Source organism: Homo sapiens, chromosome 1 (genome assembly GCF_000001405.40).
Source record: "Homo sapiens chromosome 1, GRCh38.p14 Primary Assembly".
NCBI lineage: Eukaryota > Metazoa > Chordata > Mammalia > Primates > Hominidae > Homo > Homo sapiens.
In genome coordinates, this window is record NC_000001.11 from 109,085,779 (window position 1) to 109,102,102 (window position 16,324).

Consider the following 16,324-nt stretch of genomic DNA (forward strand, 5'->3'; position numbering starts at 1 on the left):
TGTATTTTTAGTAGAGACGGGGTTTCACCATGTTGGCCAGGATGATCTCAATCTCTTGACGTGATCTGCCTGCCTCGGCCTCCCAAAGTGCTGGGATTACAGGCATGAGCCACCGCACCTGGTCAACTTTTTGATTTTAGAATATAAAAGTCTTGATACAACTAATTTTGAAATAGCCTGGTGAGACTCACTCTATTCAATTAAAAAAATGTAAAATATCTTTTACAATATGAAAAAGAAAAAATATGGTGGAGGGAGAAAGAAGAAATAAATTTAAGAGTGGGAGAAAAAAAGTAGGAAGAATAGAGACAGACGTGGAAAATGAAGAAAAAGTAAATTTTGAGTGGAGTTAAAAGAAAACTGTTTAATCATAAGATACTGTGTGCATTATCACTGCCCTTTAGAAATAGTAATTTGAGGCCGGGCACGGTGGCTCATGCCTGTAATCCCAGCACTTTGGAGCCCGAGGCAGGTGGATCATGAGGTCAGGAGATCAAGACCATCCTGGTCAACACGGTGAAACCCCGTCTCTACTAAAAATACAAAAAATTAGCCGGGCGTGGTGGCGGGCGCCTGTAGTCCCAGCTACTTCGGAGGCTGAGGCAGGAGAATGGCGGGAACCTGGGAGGCGGAGCTTGCAGTGGGCCGAGATGGCGCCACTGTACTCCAGCCTGGGCGACAGAGCGAGACTCTGTCTCAAAGCTAAAATAAAATAAAATAAAAATTGGAATTTGCCACTGGGTGTGGTGGCTCACGCCTGTAATCCCAGCACTTTGGAAGGCCGAGGCGGGCGGATCACGAGGTCAGGAGTTCAAGACCAGCCTGGCCAACGTAGTGAAACCCCATCTCTACTAAAAATACAAAACTTAGCCGGACACGATGGCGCATGCCTGTAGTTCCAGCTACTCCGGAGGAGAGGCAGAAGAATTGCTTGAACCCAGGAAGCAGAGGTTGCAGTGAGCAGTGATTGCACCACTGCACTCCAGCTTGGGCAACAGAGTGAGACTTTGTCTCAAAAAAAAAAAATTGTAATTTGCCAATTCATCACTCCTCCTGGTTTTTCAGCTTTGATTTCATCCTTAATTTTTTTTTTCTGTTTATGAGACACAGTCTTGCTCTGTCTCCCAGGCTGGAGTGCAGTGGCGTGATCTCAGCTTAATGCAACCTCTGCCTCCCCGGTTCAAGTGATTATCCTGCCTCAGCATCCCGAGTAGCTGGGATTACAGACAGACACCACCACACCCAGCTAATTGTTGTATTTTTAGTAAAGACAGGGTTTCACGATGTTGCCAGGCTGGTCTCCAACTCCTGACCCCAAGTGATCCACCTGTCTCGGTCTCCCAAAGTGCTGGGATTACAGGTGTGAGCCACCATGCCCAGCCTTTACATTTTATTCTTTTTTTTTTTTTTTTTGAGAGGGAGTCTCACTCTGTTGTCCAGGCTGGAGTACAGTGGCACAATCTCGGCTCACTGCAACCTTCGCCTCCCAGTCTGAAGCGATTCTCCCTCCTGCCTTAGCCACCTGAGTAGCTGGGATTGGAGGCTCACGCCCCCATGCCCGGCTAATTTTTGTGTTTTTAGTTTTGTGTTTTTAGACAAGGTTTCACCATGTTGGCCAGGCTGGTCTTGAACTCCTGACCTCAGGTGATCTGCCCACCTTGGCCTCCCAAAGTGCTGGGATTACAGGCGTGAGTCATTGCGCCCGGGCTTAACTTTTTTTTTTTTTTTTTTTTTTTTTTTTTTTTGTGGTGGAGTCTCACTCTGTTGCCCAGGCTGGAGTGCAATGGCACAATCTCGGCTCACTGCAATATCCGTCTCCCAGGTTCAAGTGATTCTTTCGCCTCAGCTTCCTGAGTAGCTGGGATTACAGGCACCTGCCACCACTCCCGGCTAATTTTTTTGAATTTTTAGTAGACACGGGGTTTCACCATGCTGGCCAGGCTGGTCTCGAACTCCCGACCTCAGGTGATCCTCCCGCCTCGGCCTCCCAAAGTGTTGAGATTACAGGCGTGAGCCCCTGCGCCCAGCTGATTAACTTTTATTCTAACCTCTGAGAATGACAGAAGAGGAAAGACTTGTCTTTCAGAGTATGACAAAAACTGAAGAGGTTTTCATCTAGTTAAAAAAAAATGGGGAGAAAAAATTATCTCTAAAAAGTGAGTGGCATGAGCAAAAATGAGAAAGCAAAGACTGTAACTGAAGAACATAGTCTTTATAGACAAAGCTTAAAGCCCATATAGGGAACAGTGGAAAATACTATTGGAAGGCCTTGAGTAGCAGGCTAAGGACTTAGGCATTATTCAGTAGGTAGTGGTTGCTGTCAAAGGAAACACCAGTGTGGTATGGAGGAAAATTTTCTAGTCCTGATTTCAGAAGGCTGGAATTATTGTGCCAGTGTAATACTTGGCAGTCCTTACCCTAAACCTTGGTTTATTTCTAAAACAGGGGTAATCAGGCAGTTGTGAGGGTTAAATAAGATCATATGACAAGGTGTGTTTGCTTTGAAAATGTCAAAATGTTATAAAAATGTAAGTTTTCATTGTTGTGAGGACATAATTGATACTTAAAGACTACCGATATAGCAAAATTACTAAGGTGATGGCTGTAGGATTACAAGAGGGGCAATTTTTTTTCTTTTCTTTGTTTTTTTTGAGACGTAGTTTCACTGTTGCCCAGGCTAGCGTGCTATGGCAGGATCTCAGCTCACCGCAACCTCTGCCTCCCCAGTTCAAGCGATTCTCCTGCCTCAGCCTCCCAAGTAGCTGGGATTACAGGCATGTGCCACCATGCCCGGCTACTTTTGTATTTTTAGTAGAGACGGGGTTTCTCCATGTTGGTCAGGCTGGTCTCGAACTCCCGACCTCAGGTGATCCGCCCACCTCGGCCTCCCAAAGTGCTGGAATTACAGGCGTGAGCAACCGCGCCCGGCCAAAGGGGGGCAGTTATTATTATTATTATTATTATTTGAAATGGAGTCTCGCTCTGTCGCCCAGGCTGGAGGGCAGTGGTGCTGTCTCGGCTCACTGCAACCTCTCCCTCCCGGGTTCAAGCTATTCTCCTGCCTCTGCCTTCCGAGTAGCTGGGATTACAGGCGCACGCCACCATGCCAGGCTAATTTCTGTATTTCTTTTTTTCTTTTTTCTTTTTTTTTTTTTAAGTAGAGACGGGGTTTCACCATGTGGTCAGGGTGGTCTTGAACTCCTGACCTCAGGTAATCCGCCTGCCTCGGCCTCCCAAAGTGCTGGGATTACAGGCGTGAGCCGCGCCCGGCCAGCTGCTGCTGTTTTAGACAATGGTTGATGAAGGATTCGAAGGCCTAAACAATAGAGCTTTTGTTCTGTTTTGTTTTTGAGTGGTCCTGAACAGTTCTTTTGGGCAGGGGAATTTGTCTGTGTGTGAATGTGCAAACATATATATAATCTGAGTGGCTGCCTGGCCTTGTCCTAGGTTTTGTCCCGTATATACGCCGTCTTTTTTTTTTTTTCTTTCTGCATGTATGTATATTTTCTCAAGGCATCTGTCCTGCACTAGACTTTGGCTTGTCTTTCCAGGCCAGCTTCCAGAGGATGCTTTGGCAGTTTTCCCTCTGGGTAACCAAGCAGGCTGCAGCCAGCAGATGGCACTGCAGCAGAAAGGGGCAGAGTCCCTTTAGGCCCTTGACAAGCACGGCGGATTAGTAACCGTATAATTTAACCCTCCAGTTAGCCTTGGAGGACTCGGTGTCGCACTTCCGCCCGAACTCTAATAAAGCGGGCCGAGTTGTGTGCAATTAAGGATTTCAGTATGCAAATCTGAATCTGTACTTTTGTCTCCTCCACCCCACCCCCATCATTAGACTGGCAATGTCTTTTGTCACGTTGTCAAAGTGTCCTCAGAGAAGCGGTGTCTAGATATCGCCGATTTCTGGTTAAAGTGGCTGAAGTGATCCCAGCATTAATTAAATGCAGGAGAATCGAGATTCTCCTGATAGTTTAAGGAAAAGAAAAATTCACACAAGCAAACGGGCAACCCTTTGAATGTTTTCCGACGACGTGGTGCTTTAGGATCTGAAAGATGCGACTTGGTTTTTGTTGTTGTTGTTGTTGTTGTTGTTGTTTTTGAGACGGAGTTTCCGCTCTTGTTGCCCAGGCTGGAGTGCAATGGCGCGATCTCGGCTCACCGCAACCTCCGCCTCCCAGGTTCAAGCGATTCTCCTGCCTCGGCCTCCCGAGTAGCTGGGATTACATTACAGGCATGAGCCACCATGCCCGGCTAATTTTGTATTTGTAGTAGAGACGGGGTTTCTCCATGTTGGTCAGGCTGGTCTCGAACTACGATCTCAGGTGATCCGCCTGCCTCGGCCTCCTAAAGTGCTTAGATTACAGGCATGAGCCACCGCGCCCGGCTAATTTTGTATGTTTAGTAGAGACGGGGTTTCTCCTTGTTGGTCAGGCTGGTCTCGAACTCCGACCTCAGGTGATCCGCCTGGCTCGGCCTCCCAAAGTGCTGGGATTACAGGCGTGAACCACCGCGCCCGGCCGCGACTTGTTTTTGTTACAAGGTTCCTCATTTCATTTGCAACGTTCAGACGCAGTCTGACTAGATTTCCATCCGGAGTAAGGAAGAGCAGCTCAAGGGCAGTCACGGAGGCCGCAGGTGCGGCTTCTTCACCCGCGGTGCTGGAGTTCTCTCAAGTGGAAGCCCAGGACGATGAAAACCTCATAGGTAGGCTGCTGCTTACACACAGCAGCCGCCACGGCGCAAAATAAACTACAAAACTACAAGCCTTTACCTTTTCAAACACACTGACGCGGGCCAGCCCCAGCCCTACGCCCGCAGGGGCACGCAGAAAAGACTTAGTTACCACGGCCAAGTACGAAGCCTTCGAGATAGCGTTCTTCTTACCCTACGTAAACACGCAGTTTCCCGAGCTCGACAATCGGCTAGCCACTCCTGATAGCGTTCGGCGCTCGCCTCTCGGCCCTTGCTCCTGCGTACTACGGCTTCTTCCAGTCACCTCGGCCCGGATCGGGAAGTGTCAAGCGGGCGCTCCCCCATCTCCGCCGCTATTACCACTGAACCCGGACCCCCTACCCAGGTCCAGGGCCAGCCGCCATGACGAACGGTGAGAACTGATGCCCTGAGCGGAGGGTGGGAGTGAAGGACGAAGGGAAAACGTGGCGGGCGGGGCCGGGACTGACGTGGCCGTTCTCCCCGCCCCCTCCCAGCCCGGCCCCCCTTGGCCTCTCGACGCCCCTAACTTCTGTACCCCTATACTCCTCTACGGGTTCCCCCTTCCCATATTCATCTAGGACCCCCAGTGCCTCTTATGCTCACACCTCGAGTTATCTATCCCTATGCTTTGCTTTCCCTTTTCTTTTTCTTAGTTCTTTCTGGCCCTTGGAGAGGTCAGTCCCAGAGGTACTACTGCTATTTAAACCCGGGGAAGAGAGAGGCTCCTCCTCCCAGCTCCCTGCGTTCTCATGCTTTCGGACCGTAGTTTTGTTGAGAGGGCCAATAAATGACATAGAATATCAAGTCCCACACTTTTGGGGTTGCTGGTGAATGTAGACCCCACAAAAGCTTCTTCTTACGGAAAAATACCGGAAAGATTTCTGATTTTAAAGTCCTGGCGGGGTGATCCCACGTGGAGACCCTGACTAGTGTTGCAAAGGGTGGATTTAGACACTGCCTCTTCTAGATGATGAGGCAGTTTATCTGACCTAATTTTCCAGGCCTCTTCAAACACTTTATGAATTCTGAATTCCAGAGGAGGACAGGAAGGAGGGCCTTCATGATTTTTAGTGTCAACCTTACAGGAAAGGAGAAGAGAAAGCCTTTTAGGCATTACGATGATTTGAGGGGCTCCGGAAAGCATTTCTCAAAAGTACTTTGTCCATAGACCTGGCACTGAAGACTCGAATTTAACCTCCTTGTGAATTTTGGCATTGTCTGCAGAAACTTATGAGAGAAAAGGGGTAGCACGTGAAGGTATAGTTCCTCAGAAAACCTTAGTGTATGTATTAATTTGCTGGACCCTTTCTTAGTGACAGCTTAGCTGTGAGACAGTTTTACTGGAGGAAGAGAGGTAGTGTGATCTAGAACTGGCAGACACTGGTTATATATAATATTCATTTGGAGCTTCCTGGGAAGTCAGAGGTCTCAGGATACTAGGCACAGTAAGAAAAGGGAATTTACCCAGAGGAAGACAGAATCTGAACCAGGAAGTAAGACAGCAGTTTGACACGGTAGTTGCTGAATAAATTTTAGTCATTCTTCCCCCATTTTGTGGTCCAATATCTTCTTGTTTTTTGCAATTAGGTGATTCATTGTGCTTCCCTGTACAAGAAATAAGCTTGGTTTATGTATTTAAGAAACAGAGCTAAGAAGTTAAAGCTTTCTATGTTGAAGCCTTAGATACTTTTTCTTTGTTTTAGAAAAATCTGTTATTATTCTGGCAGAAATTCGGTTTGTTAAGAGTATCATCCATAAAGTGTAAGATAATGATAGGAAAATTGTAGTCATGTGGATTCTTACTCTTGCAACTTTCATTAAGCTTAATTTTTTGCCTTAACATATTCTTCACCAACAGTTGCACATCTGACAGTTTTGGCTACATATCTAGCTCTCCTTTATCATATGAGTGATTTATAACAAGAACATGTTAAATTCTCTGTGCTGAGTCTCTAAGGATTCATATGTCTCAATCTATTGCCAACACTAGTCATTCCTGGGATGCTAATTTCTGCCCAGGATTTCTACTTCTTGAAAGGTGAGGGGAAGGACCAGTGACATTTTAGTAAAGGGGATGTAAAAAAAAAAATTTTTTTTTGAGTTGGGGTCTCACTCTGTTGCTCAGGCTACAGTGCAGTGGCATGATCGTAGTTCATTGCAGCCTCGAACTCCTGGGCTCAATTGATCCCCCTTCCTCCTACAAGCAATTTTTGGGAACAGTAAAATAATCGTGTTAGTCCCAGGATCCTGGCTCCCCCTTGTCAAGTGTCAGTACTGCCTGTTGAGGTTATTATTTTGTTATTATGTCACACACTATCTTCCTTAGAGTTCTCAGGCGGGATCACAGGTCCGACGCTAGATCAGTACCTAAGGTTTTCTTTTCTTCTTTATTTAACAGTGTACTCCTTGGATGGGATTCTGGTGTTTGGTTTGCTCTTTGTTTGCACCTGTGCCTACTTCAAGAAAGTACCTCGTCTCAAAACCTGGCTGCTATCAGAGAAGAAGGGTGTTTGGGGTGTGTTTTACAAAGGTGAGGCCATGTCTGGACAGGGAGAAGAGACTGCCATCTCTGGACAGTGTGGAGCTACAAAGTAGGGAGTACAGTGAGCTGGGATTATATTTGGTTTCATTTTTAGAAAAAAATCCCTCCGATTGGGTCTGAGAGTCTGGAAAATTAATCATTCTCCAAAGTTGAGGGAAGAGGTAAAAGTTAAAATTTGCTGGGTGTGATGGCTCATGCCTATAATCTCAGCACTTTGGGGGGCCAAGGCAGGAGGATTGCTTGTGTCCAGGAGTTGTAGATCAGCCCGGGCAACACAGTGAGACCCCATTTCTACAAAATATACAAAAATTAGCCAGGTATGGTGGCACGTGCCTGTAGTCCCAGTTACTCAGGAGACTGAGGTGGGAGGATTGCTTGAGCCTAGGAGGTTGAGGCTGCAGTGAGCCATGGTGGAGCCACTGCACTCCAGCCCAGGTGACAGGGTGAGACCCTGTCTCAAAAAAAAAAAAAATTATTTAAAAACATAATTGTCTATTTTAGCATCCAGATGATTTTTGTATTCTCCATGGAGTAAAAGTATACACATCAAATCATTTTAGGCTGGGGTGGAATTCCTCCCTTCAGTGGGAAAAAAATTTTTCTACGGAAAATTTTTCTTGATTTTCTGTAAATGGTACATTGGAGTCTGTTTTAAGGTTTGAGTTAATTAACTCAGATGCTTTTTTGTACTTTTTATTTGAGGCACATTCATTTGGAATCCTATCTACCTAAATTTTTTTTTGAAAAAGGACAAAATATAAACAAACAGTATATTCACCTAGACCCTAAAGCATAAGGATAGCATTTAGAAACATCTCAGAGGCCGGATGCGGTGGCTCATGCCTGTAATCCCAACACTTTGGGAGGCCGAGGAGGGCAGATCACCCAAGGTCAGGAGTTCGAGACCAGCCTGGCCAACATGGTGAAACCCTGTCTCTACTAAAAATACAAAAATTAGCCAGGGAGCCGGGCACGGTGGCTCACGCCTGTAATTCCAGCACTTTAGGAGGCCAAGGTGGGTGGATCACCTGAGGTCAAGAGTTCAAGACCAGCCTGGCCAAGATGGTGAAACCCCATCTCTACTAAAAATACAAAAATTAGCTGGGCATGGTGGCAGGCGCCTGTAATCTCAGCTACTCAAGAGGCTGAGGCAGGAGAATTGCTTGAACCCGGGTGGCAGAGGTTGCAGTGAGCCGAGATCGCGCCACTGCACTCCAGCCTGGCCGACAGAGTGAGACTGCCTCCAAAAATAAAATAAAAACATCCCAGGCCCTTGAGAGCGTTGATATGTCTGTCTGTGACTAGAGACTTCAAAATATCACCTTGAAAGTGAGGACTTCGGTGAAGGGCAGGGTGTGATTTCTTCTCTCTTTTGCCTGCTAGCCGCTGTGATTGGAACCAGGCTGCATGCTGCTGTGGCAATTGCTTGTGTTGTAATGGCCTTTTACGTCCTGTTTATAAAATGAATTCCAAAGCACCCAAGTCATCAACTGCCAACCAAGGGGACGGGGATGAAGAACCTGTTGGAGACCTGAACCCAGTGTAGGAGAGTTCAGCTGAAATCATCGGTCCCCAGGATGACACCACAGCATCTGCCCCTGCTATATGTGGGGAAAACTCATGGTCACGAACATTATTTATGCTTCAGGGGACTACAGAAAGCCAGCTTCCTTTGATCTATGTGTAAATCAGTCCTTGGCAGAGTGCATATAATGTCCGGATAAATTACACCCCTCGGTGATAAGATTACATACCTCCTTCATAAAAACCTGTCATCCTGTTTTGTTCTTCAGCTCCTCATCAGGATCTTTTCAAACTGAGGCTCATTAGGGAAGGAACTAGGCTGTGTTCAGACTTCTTTTGAAGAGAGAGAATTTTCAAGACTTCTTTTCACTCTTTGATTTGGATCTGGCAAATTGGGGAGGGGATGCTGGGTGGGAAACAGTTATGAAATGCCAAGAAATTCTTTGGCTTTAGAAATTTATCTTTCATGTACCCATCCGGGAACATAAAAGAGAGGCATAGTGCTCATTGCAAAAAGAGAACAGATGAAGTAGCTGTGTTATGTGCTGGTATCTTGAGAGTTTTGCCAAGAAAATCTGGGCCTACATAAAATTTGAGAATTATCTGTGTGATGAGACCAGAAAGCAGTGGCTTAGACAAGAAAAAATCTTTCTGTTCACCAGTATCCTCAAATGGAGACTTCACTTGATCAGATGGTATATGAAAAATGAATCAACTATTGCTATTTCGTAAAACCTTTTTATATTTTCTAAATTTACTTAGTGCTAAATACTGTTACTCAGTTTTAAATGCCACGACTAGGGGAAAAAGAAACTATTGAAGAAATAATTGTTTAGTATATTTGCAGTTGGGGTAGAAGAAAGAAATCTAGTATATTGATTCATATACTAGTAAATTCATCTAGTATAAGAACTTGTGATGTTAGATTGAAGTTTTGTCATCTTATAAAAGACAACAAACTTATTTTCTGTTTAAGTCTGAGTGTTATGGCAATTTTTAGTTGATTACTTATTTTTCTTAGCCAAATTTTAATTTTCTTCATATTGCATTGCTCTTTAGTTGTCTCTGGAAATTCTATTTACTTTAAGGACATGAGAAATTCAAATGAGAGAAGTTGCTGATATTCATCAGTGTGTTTGGACAGTTCATAGGGTCCACAAATCAAATGAGGTTGTTTCCTGAAGTAGAAGAAAACAGAACTTTGCAATTGATACTGAAGTACTTTGCCATGGAGTTAGTAACTCCTGAGCAGACCATTTTAGATGGCTCAGCATTTGGCAGGAAGACTTCTCCATTCCCTGCTTATATCTATGGAAGGATCAGCTGTTGGATGTCTAGAACTTCTCTATTTAAAAAAAAAGAGTAGGTCTAAAATTAAATTATTATAAGCAAGCATAGACATGGGTCTTCCAGTTGAATTGTCCATTACCGTAAAACTTAATGGTGGACAAGTTAGCTGTGGTTGATTCCTGTGTGGCAGTAAATTGTCTTCTGTCTGCTTACTCCAAATAATAAAAGCTGCTAGGAAGTTTAGATTTTGAAATAGGCAGTTTAATGCTTTGAGGGTTTCTAGAAATACAGAAAGTCATCAAGTAAACACTGCATGTCTAATCATCTCAGAGTTGTGGCTGTTATCTCTTCAGGAATTGGTCCACAGGGTAAATTTCAACAATTCATACGTTTTCCATTGTCATTTCTGAGGACCTTTGAGATGAGAGAAAGGAAATCTAGTGGAACAGGAAAGAGAGTTACACCTTGTGGGTGTGAGTTTGGGACCTGTTGGCAGAAGGGAATGTCACTCCCTGGAAACAGGTTCAGCATGTTTGCACTTGTTATTTTGTAGCTTTAATGATTTTTGTTTTCTAATAGGGCAAATGTCTCTAAGCTTGGTGTTTAGAGCTGCTTCATATTTTAAACTAGTTCCATTCCACAGTTCTAGTTCAAACCAGTTTTTACAGCCTCCTGGGTGGGTCGTCTTGACCCAAACTCTTGTGTTGTTACATTTTGAGAGGTTTTCATACCAGAATGTACCAAAAAGTGCACAAGGTAAAGGTAATTTACAGCCAGAAACAAATATACATTTGTTTCATTTCTTGACTTTCCCTAAGCAGATAAGCAGAAACTTGTTTAACTCATTACTTTGTTTGATGTGTCTTACATATTTTTGACTAAAAGTTATAGAATGTTATTCCTCTGGGGGAATCTTTTACAGGTGGAGGAATGGGGATAGCAGTATTGCCTCAGATTCAAACTGGCATCACCATAAACCCTGTAGGCCAGGGTGGAATGAAGTCAGCTCCTTTTTATAGTTGAAATACAATTTTTTATTCACCATTGTCTGCACAAATCCTTGAAAATAAACCTTTTTTTCCCTACAGTCTTTGTCAATTTATTTGTCACATGCTGAATTTATTGAAGTTTGTTCAGTCCTCCCCTGGGTTCAGTTCATAGCCTACCTTTTTAGTTCACATTAGTAAATACCATCATTCCTGTTATCCCATTGTGAGAGCATTGAATGTATTATATAGTTAAGAATCTATGATGGCCTAGTTTTCTCCTTTAGGGCAGCTGAGACAGATATATCTAGAGATATCTATAACTAGATATATATATGTATATATGATATGCTGAGATATATATAACTAAATATAAATGCATGTAGTAAGTTTTCATATATATACGAATAAGATATTCATATATATGTGAATGAATAAGTATTGAGGTATATGAATGAAATAAGGTAGATAGCACCCCCAATACATTCCATCTGCTATTGCTATTAAAATACAAGTATCATCTGCTCTAAACAGTCATAAACATCTTCATTCAAATGAAGTTAACAAGTTAACCAGCCAGACACCTAGAAAATCCTTGAGCCAGACTTTGGGAGGCTGAAGCGGGTGGATCACTTGACGTTAGGTGTTCGAGACCAGTCTGCCCAACATGGTGAAACTCTGTCTCTACTAAAAATACGAAAAAAGAATGTGTCACTGCACTCCAGGCTAGGTGACAGAGCGAGACTCCGTCTCAAAAAAAAAATAAAAAATAAAAAAAATCCTTGAGCCAGCGGGATTCTGGCACATACAATGGGTACTTTCCCCCTTATTTGTTTATTTCAAGTGCCTGGTGAGACTGGCACAAGTACAAATTAGAACTTAAATCATTTTGTACTACTCTCCAAAATTCTTCTGATTTCTACCCCCCAACACCCATTTCATTGAAAAAGGAAAAAGAAGGAATTGAGCCATTAAAATTATGCTTTCTAATGTGAGAGGAGCTAATTCTGCTTATATAACCACTGCTATTTTACACTCTACTCATTCTGGAACTTGGAAGTCAACGTATGTTTTAATAGATATGACCATAAATGAAGGCTCAAAAATTTGGGTGCCACAGCATTAAGTTGTGGGCAGACTTAGGGCTCTCTAAGTGGGGACAGGAATATGCCTTCCTATCTGTACCCATTTCATAGATATCCTGACTTCCTAATATTTGGATTTAAATACAGTATTCTTGGCTGTGTGCAGTGGCTTAAGTCTATAATCCCAGCACTTTGGGAAACCAAGGCAAGAGGATCGCTTGAGCCCAGGAGTTTAAGACCAGACTGGGCAACGTAGTGAGACCTCTGTCTACAAAAATGTGTTTTAAAAAGTAGCCAGGTGTGGGCCTGATGCGGTGGCTCATGCCTGTAATCCCAGCACTTGGGAGGCTGAGGCTGATGGACCACAAGGTCAGGAGATCAAGACCATCCTGGCTAACACGGTGAAACCTCGTCTCTACTAAAAATACAAAAAATTAGCTGGGCATGGTGGCACGCACCTGTAATCCCAGCTACTCAGGAGGCTGAGACAGGAGAATCGCTTGAACCTGGGAAGCGGAGGTTGCAGTGAGTCCAGATGGCACCACTGCACTCCAGCCTGGGTCACAGAGCGAGACTCCTCAAAAAAAAAAAAGAAAAAAAGTAGCCAGGTGTTACCTGTGGTCCCAGCAACTTGGGAGGCTTAGGTGGGAGGATCAATTGAGCCCAGAAGGTTGAGGCTGCAGTGAGTCATGATTGTACCACTGCACTCCAGCATAGGAGACAGAGCAAGACCCTGTCTCAAATAAGTACATACATACATACATACATACATACGTACTCTATTCCTTACCTTTCCCTTTGGTAAAATGATGTTTGCCTTCTCCCTAGGGAGAAGGGGCTACTGGGGAAGCTGATGCTCCCCATGGTAATGACCAGAGATTGATGTCTTCTTGGAAAAGAAGTCACTCACCTATGAATATCCTGAAGTTGAATCATATTTAAAAAGGGCTGGGCGCGGTGGCTCATGCCTGTAATCCCAGCACTTTGGGAGGCCGAGGCAGGCAGATCACCTGAGGTCGGGGGTTCGAGACCAGCCTGACCAACATGGAGAAACTCTAACTCTACTAAAAATACAAAATTAGCAGGGCGTGGTGGCACATGCCTGTAATCCCAGCTACTTGGGAGGCTGAGGCAGGAGAATTGCTTGAACCCGGGAGGCGGAGGTTTCGGTGAACCGAGATCACGCCATGGCACTCCAGCCCAGGCAACAAGAACGAAACTCCGTCTCAAAAAAATTTAAGGCCGGGCGCGGTGGCTCACACCTGTAATCCCAGCACTTTGGGAGTCTGAGGCGGGCGGATCACCTGAGGTCAAGAGTTCAGGACCAGCCTGGCCAACACGGTGAAACCCCAAGTCTACTAAAAATACAAAAATTAGCCGGGCGTGGTGGCGGGCGTCTGTAATCCCAGCTACTTGGGAGGCTGAGGCAGAAGAATCGCTCGAACACAGGAGGTGGAGGTTGCAGTGAACCGAGATCGCACCACTGCACTCCAGCCTGGGTGACAGAGCTGGACTCCGTCTATAAAAAAAAGAAAGAAATTGGGCCGGGCGCAGTGGCTCACGCCTGTGATCCCAGCACTGTGGGAGGCCAAGGCGGGCGGATCACGAGGTCAGCAGTTCGAGATCAGCGTGGCCAACATGATGAAACCCTATCTCTACTAAAAATACATAAATTAGCCAGGCATAGTGGCGGACCCCTGTAATCCCAGCTACTCCGGAGGCTGAGGCAGGAGAATTACTTGAACCCGGGAGGCAGAGGTTGCAGTGAGCCGAGACCGTGCCATTGCACTGCAGCCTGGGCGACAGAGCGAGTCTCCATTTCAAAAAGAAAGAAAGAAATTGAAGACAAATTAAAGTCACGATCACAGAAAAACTAAAGATATGTATATAACTATGTAGTTATACAAAGGTCAAAAGGCTAAGTGCCGTGGCCATCGCCTGTGGTCCCAGCTACTCAGGAGGCTGAGGTGGGAGGATCACTTGATCTAGGAGCAATGAGCCGTGTTCGCGCTACTGCACTCCAGCCTGGGCGACACAGCAAGAACGGGTCTCCAAAAAAAAAAAACCACGATTCTGTAAGGTGGAAATTAGTACTGCCTTTTCCTGGGACCTATGTTCCCCTCCGAGCCACGCGAGGGCAGCAACGCGCGCACTCTGAGGAACACCCCCTTCCTCAGGACTCGTCCGCCTGTGCTCGGTGGTTTCTCCCAGAATCCTCCAAGGCGCGGGAGGGGGCGGAGAGCTTAAAAGTCGCGGGGGGAGCGGACTTCCGCTGTTTTAGGGAGGGAGAGCGGCCTGGGTCCTGGGTGTTGTGTGCGGAGCTGTGGCGTCGCGTGTGAGGCGCGTGCAGGGTGAGTGTGAGTGGACGCGTGAGTGTGTGAGTGTGCGCGCTTGGAGCGTGTTAGGCGAGTGCGTGCGCCCACCCCTGCGCCCCTCCTCCCGCTTACACTTTGATCTTATTTGATCGGATCGTGACCCCAGCCCCGCCGGGCCGACCCGAAATGAAAAGCTCTCCTCCTGCGAAGCCCCCTCGGGGCGCTGTGCAGCGAGGCCCCTTAGGCGGCGGCCACGCTGTGGTCCCCGAGGTCCCGGAGCTGGCCCTGCGGGGCCCGGCGCTCAGAAGTGATGAATTGATCAGATAGACGAGGCCGGGCTTGTCCCCGGCCACTGATTATCGAGGCGATTCTGATCTGGGCACGGCCACCGGGCTGCGGGCTGCCGGTGGCGTAGGGGCGAGCACGTGAACGGCGGCGGCGGGCGGGGATGCTGAGCGCGGTGGCCAAGGGTAAATGAGCCGCTGCCCCTCCCCCTGGAGCTGGAAGGTCGCGGAGGCCTTTTTGGCCGCTGATATACTTTCCTCCCACTTTCCCATTTCTCCTTGTTTTTCTTTTTTCTTTTGTTCCTTTTTTTTTTTTTTTGAGACAGGGTCTTGCTCTGTCGCCCAGACTGGAGTGCAGAACCGCAATATCGGCTCACTGCAACTTCGACCTCCTTGGCTCAAGCGATCCTCACATCTCTGTCTCCCGAATAGGTGGAACTACAGGCGCGCGTCACCACGCTCGGCTAATTTTTGTATCTTTTGGTAGAGACGGGGTTTCACCATGTTTTGCCAGGCTGGTCTCGAACTCCAGCCTCAAGTGATCCGCCCGCCTCGGCTTCCCAAAGTGCTGGGATTACAGGCATGAGCCACCGCGCCCGGCCCCTTTTTTAGTTTTTCTTTCTTTCTTTTTTTTTTTTGAAACGGTCTCACTCTGTTTCTCAGGCTGGAGTGCAGTGGCGCAATCATAGTTCACTGCAGTCTCGACCTCCCAGGCTCAAGAGATTCTCCTACCTCAGCCTGCCCAGTAGCTGGGACTATCAGTGCACGCCATAACGCCAGTCCTCTCCTTGTTTTTCTTTAGGCTTGGCTTGACTTTTTTTTTTTTTTTTTTTTTGAGACGGAGTCTTGCTCTGTCGCCCAGGCTGGAGTGCAGTGGCACGATCTCGGCTCACTGCAAGCTCCGCCTCCCGGGTTCACGCCATTCTGCCTCAGCCTCCCGAGTGGCTGGGACTACAGGCGCCCACCACCACGCCCGGCTAAATTTTTGTATTTTTTAGTAGAGACGGGGTTTCACCATGTTAGCCAGGATGGTCTCGATCTCCTGACCTGGTGATCCACCCACCTCGGCCTCCCAAAGTGCTGGGATTACAGGCGTGAGCTACGGCGCCCGGCCGGCTTGACATTTTTTGTATGCTACCAACACTTGTATCCCCAGGGCTAACGGCATGGTACAGCATCTGCCGCTAAGGGTTATACACACACTGTCTAGTATGTCCTTATACATGTATATGTCCATTAAGAGAACATGAAATGTTCCAGGGACACTCCTGGAATATACTGAATTAGAATTATCAGGGAGGTCTAGGAATCCATGTTTTTAAAAGCAAATGCCTTTTTTTGATGTTTAGTATCTCAACCTCCATAATGTGATTATCCAGGTAGTCATGCCTCTGCCACCTTAAGCCACTCTAAATAATGAGATCTGAAACTTCATATAGCCACTTGGCAGCAGATATGTGAATAGGTCGGAAAGTCTGGGTGGAAGGGGACTCTATTTATTTATTTATTTAGAGACGGAGCCTCACTCTGTTGCCCAGGCTGGAGTGCAGTGGCGCGATCTTGGCTCACTGCAACCTCCACCTCC

The 16,324-nt window shown here is 46.2% G+C and overlaps 1 protein-coding gene, 1 non-coding gene and 1 pseudogene across 5 annotated transcripts, besides 4 other annotated features; 2 read left to right on the top strand and 1 right to left on the bottom strand.

The window, feature by feature from the left end:
- Positions 4,620-4,819: an enhancer, noted in NCBI's record as "active region_1435". NCBI's record gives its function as "activates an Ori minimal core promoter by ATAC-STARR-seq in GM12878 lymphoblastoid cells {active_cell/tissue: GM12878}" and the evidence as "EXISTENCE:reporter gene assay evidence [ECO:0000049][PMID:35858748]".
- On the top strand, positions 4,986-11,156 carry TMEM167B (transmembrane protein 167B). Of its 4 annotated transcripts, NR_136242.2 has the most exons (4): positions 4,986-5,104; positions 5,882-5,970; positions 7,112-7,243; positions 8,639-11,156. NR_136242.2 is itself a non-coding variant. In NM_001322248.2 (3 exons), exons 1-3 carry the CDS (start codon positions 5,095-5,097, stop codon positions 8,799-8,801), a joined length of 366 nt encoding a protein of 121 aa, NP_001309177.1. In that variant the 5' UTR covers positions 4,986-5,094; the 3' UTR covers positions 8,802-11,156. The 4 variants fall into 4 exon arrangements, 2 of the variants coding, with proteins under 2 accessions (NP_001309177.1, NP_064526.1); NM_001322248.2 differs by lacking the exon at positions 5,882-5,970 and having other exon boundaries at positions 7,112-7,304; NM_020141.4 differs by lacking the exon at positions 5,882-5,970.
- Positions 6,689-7,262, bottom strand: NDUFB3P1 (NADH:ubiquinone oxidoreductase subunit B3 pseudogene 1; annotated as a pseudogene).
- Positions 13,177-13,936: an enhancer, noted in NCBI's record as "H3K4me1 hESC enhancer chr1:109641577-109642336 (GRCh37/hg19 assembly coordinates)". NCBI's record gives its function as "activates a minimal SCP1, AML or CMV promoter by ChIP-STARR-seq in primed H9 embryonic stem cells {active_cell/tissue: H9 hESC(primed)}" and the evidence as "EXISTENCE:reporter gene assay evidence [ECO:0000049][PMID:30033119]".
- Positions 13,937-14,696: an enhancer, noted in NCBI's record as "NANOG-H3K27ac-H3K4me1 hESC enhancer chr1:109642337-109643096 (GRCh37/hg19 assembly coordinates)". NCBI's record gives its function as "activates a minimal SCP1, AML or CMV promoter by ChIP-STARR-seq in primed H9 embryonic stem cells {active_cell/tissue: H9 hESC(primed)}" and the evidence as "EXISTENCE:reporter gene assay evidence [ECO:0000049][PMID:30033119]".
- On the top strand, positions 14,415-14,834 carry SCARNA2 (small Cajal body-specific RNA 2). The gene has a single exon (NR_003023.1).
- Positions 15,457-16,215: an enhancer, noted in NCBI's record as "H3K27ac-H3K4me1 hESC enhancer chr1:109643857-109644615 (GRCh37/hg19 assembly coordinates)". NCBI's record gives its function as "activates a minimal SCP1, AML or CMV promoter by ChIP-STARR-seq in primed H9 embryonic stem cells {active_cell/tissue: H9 hESC(primed)}" and the evidence as "EXISTENCE:reporter gene assay evidence [ECO:0000049][PMID:30033119]".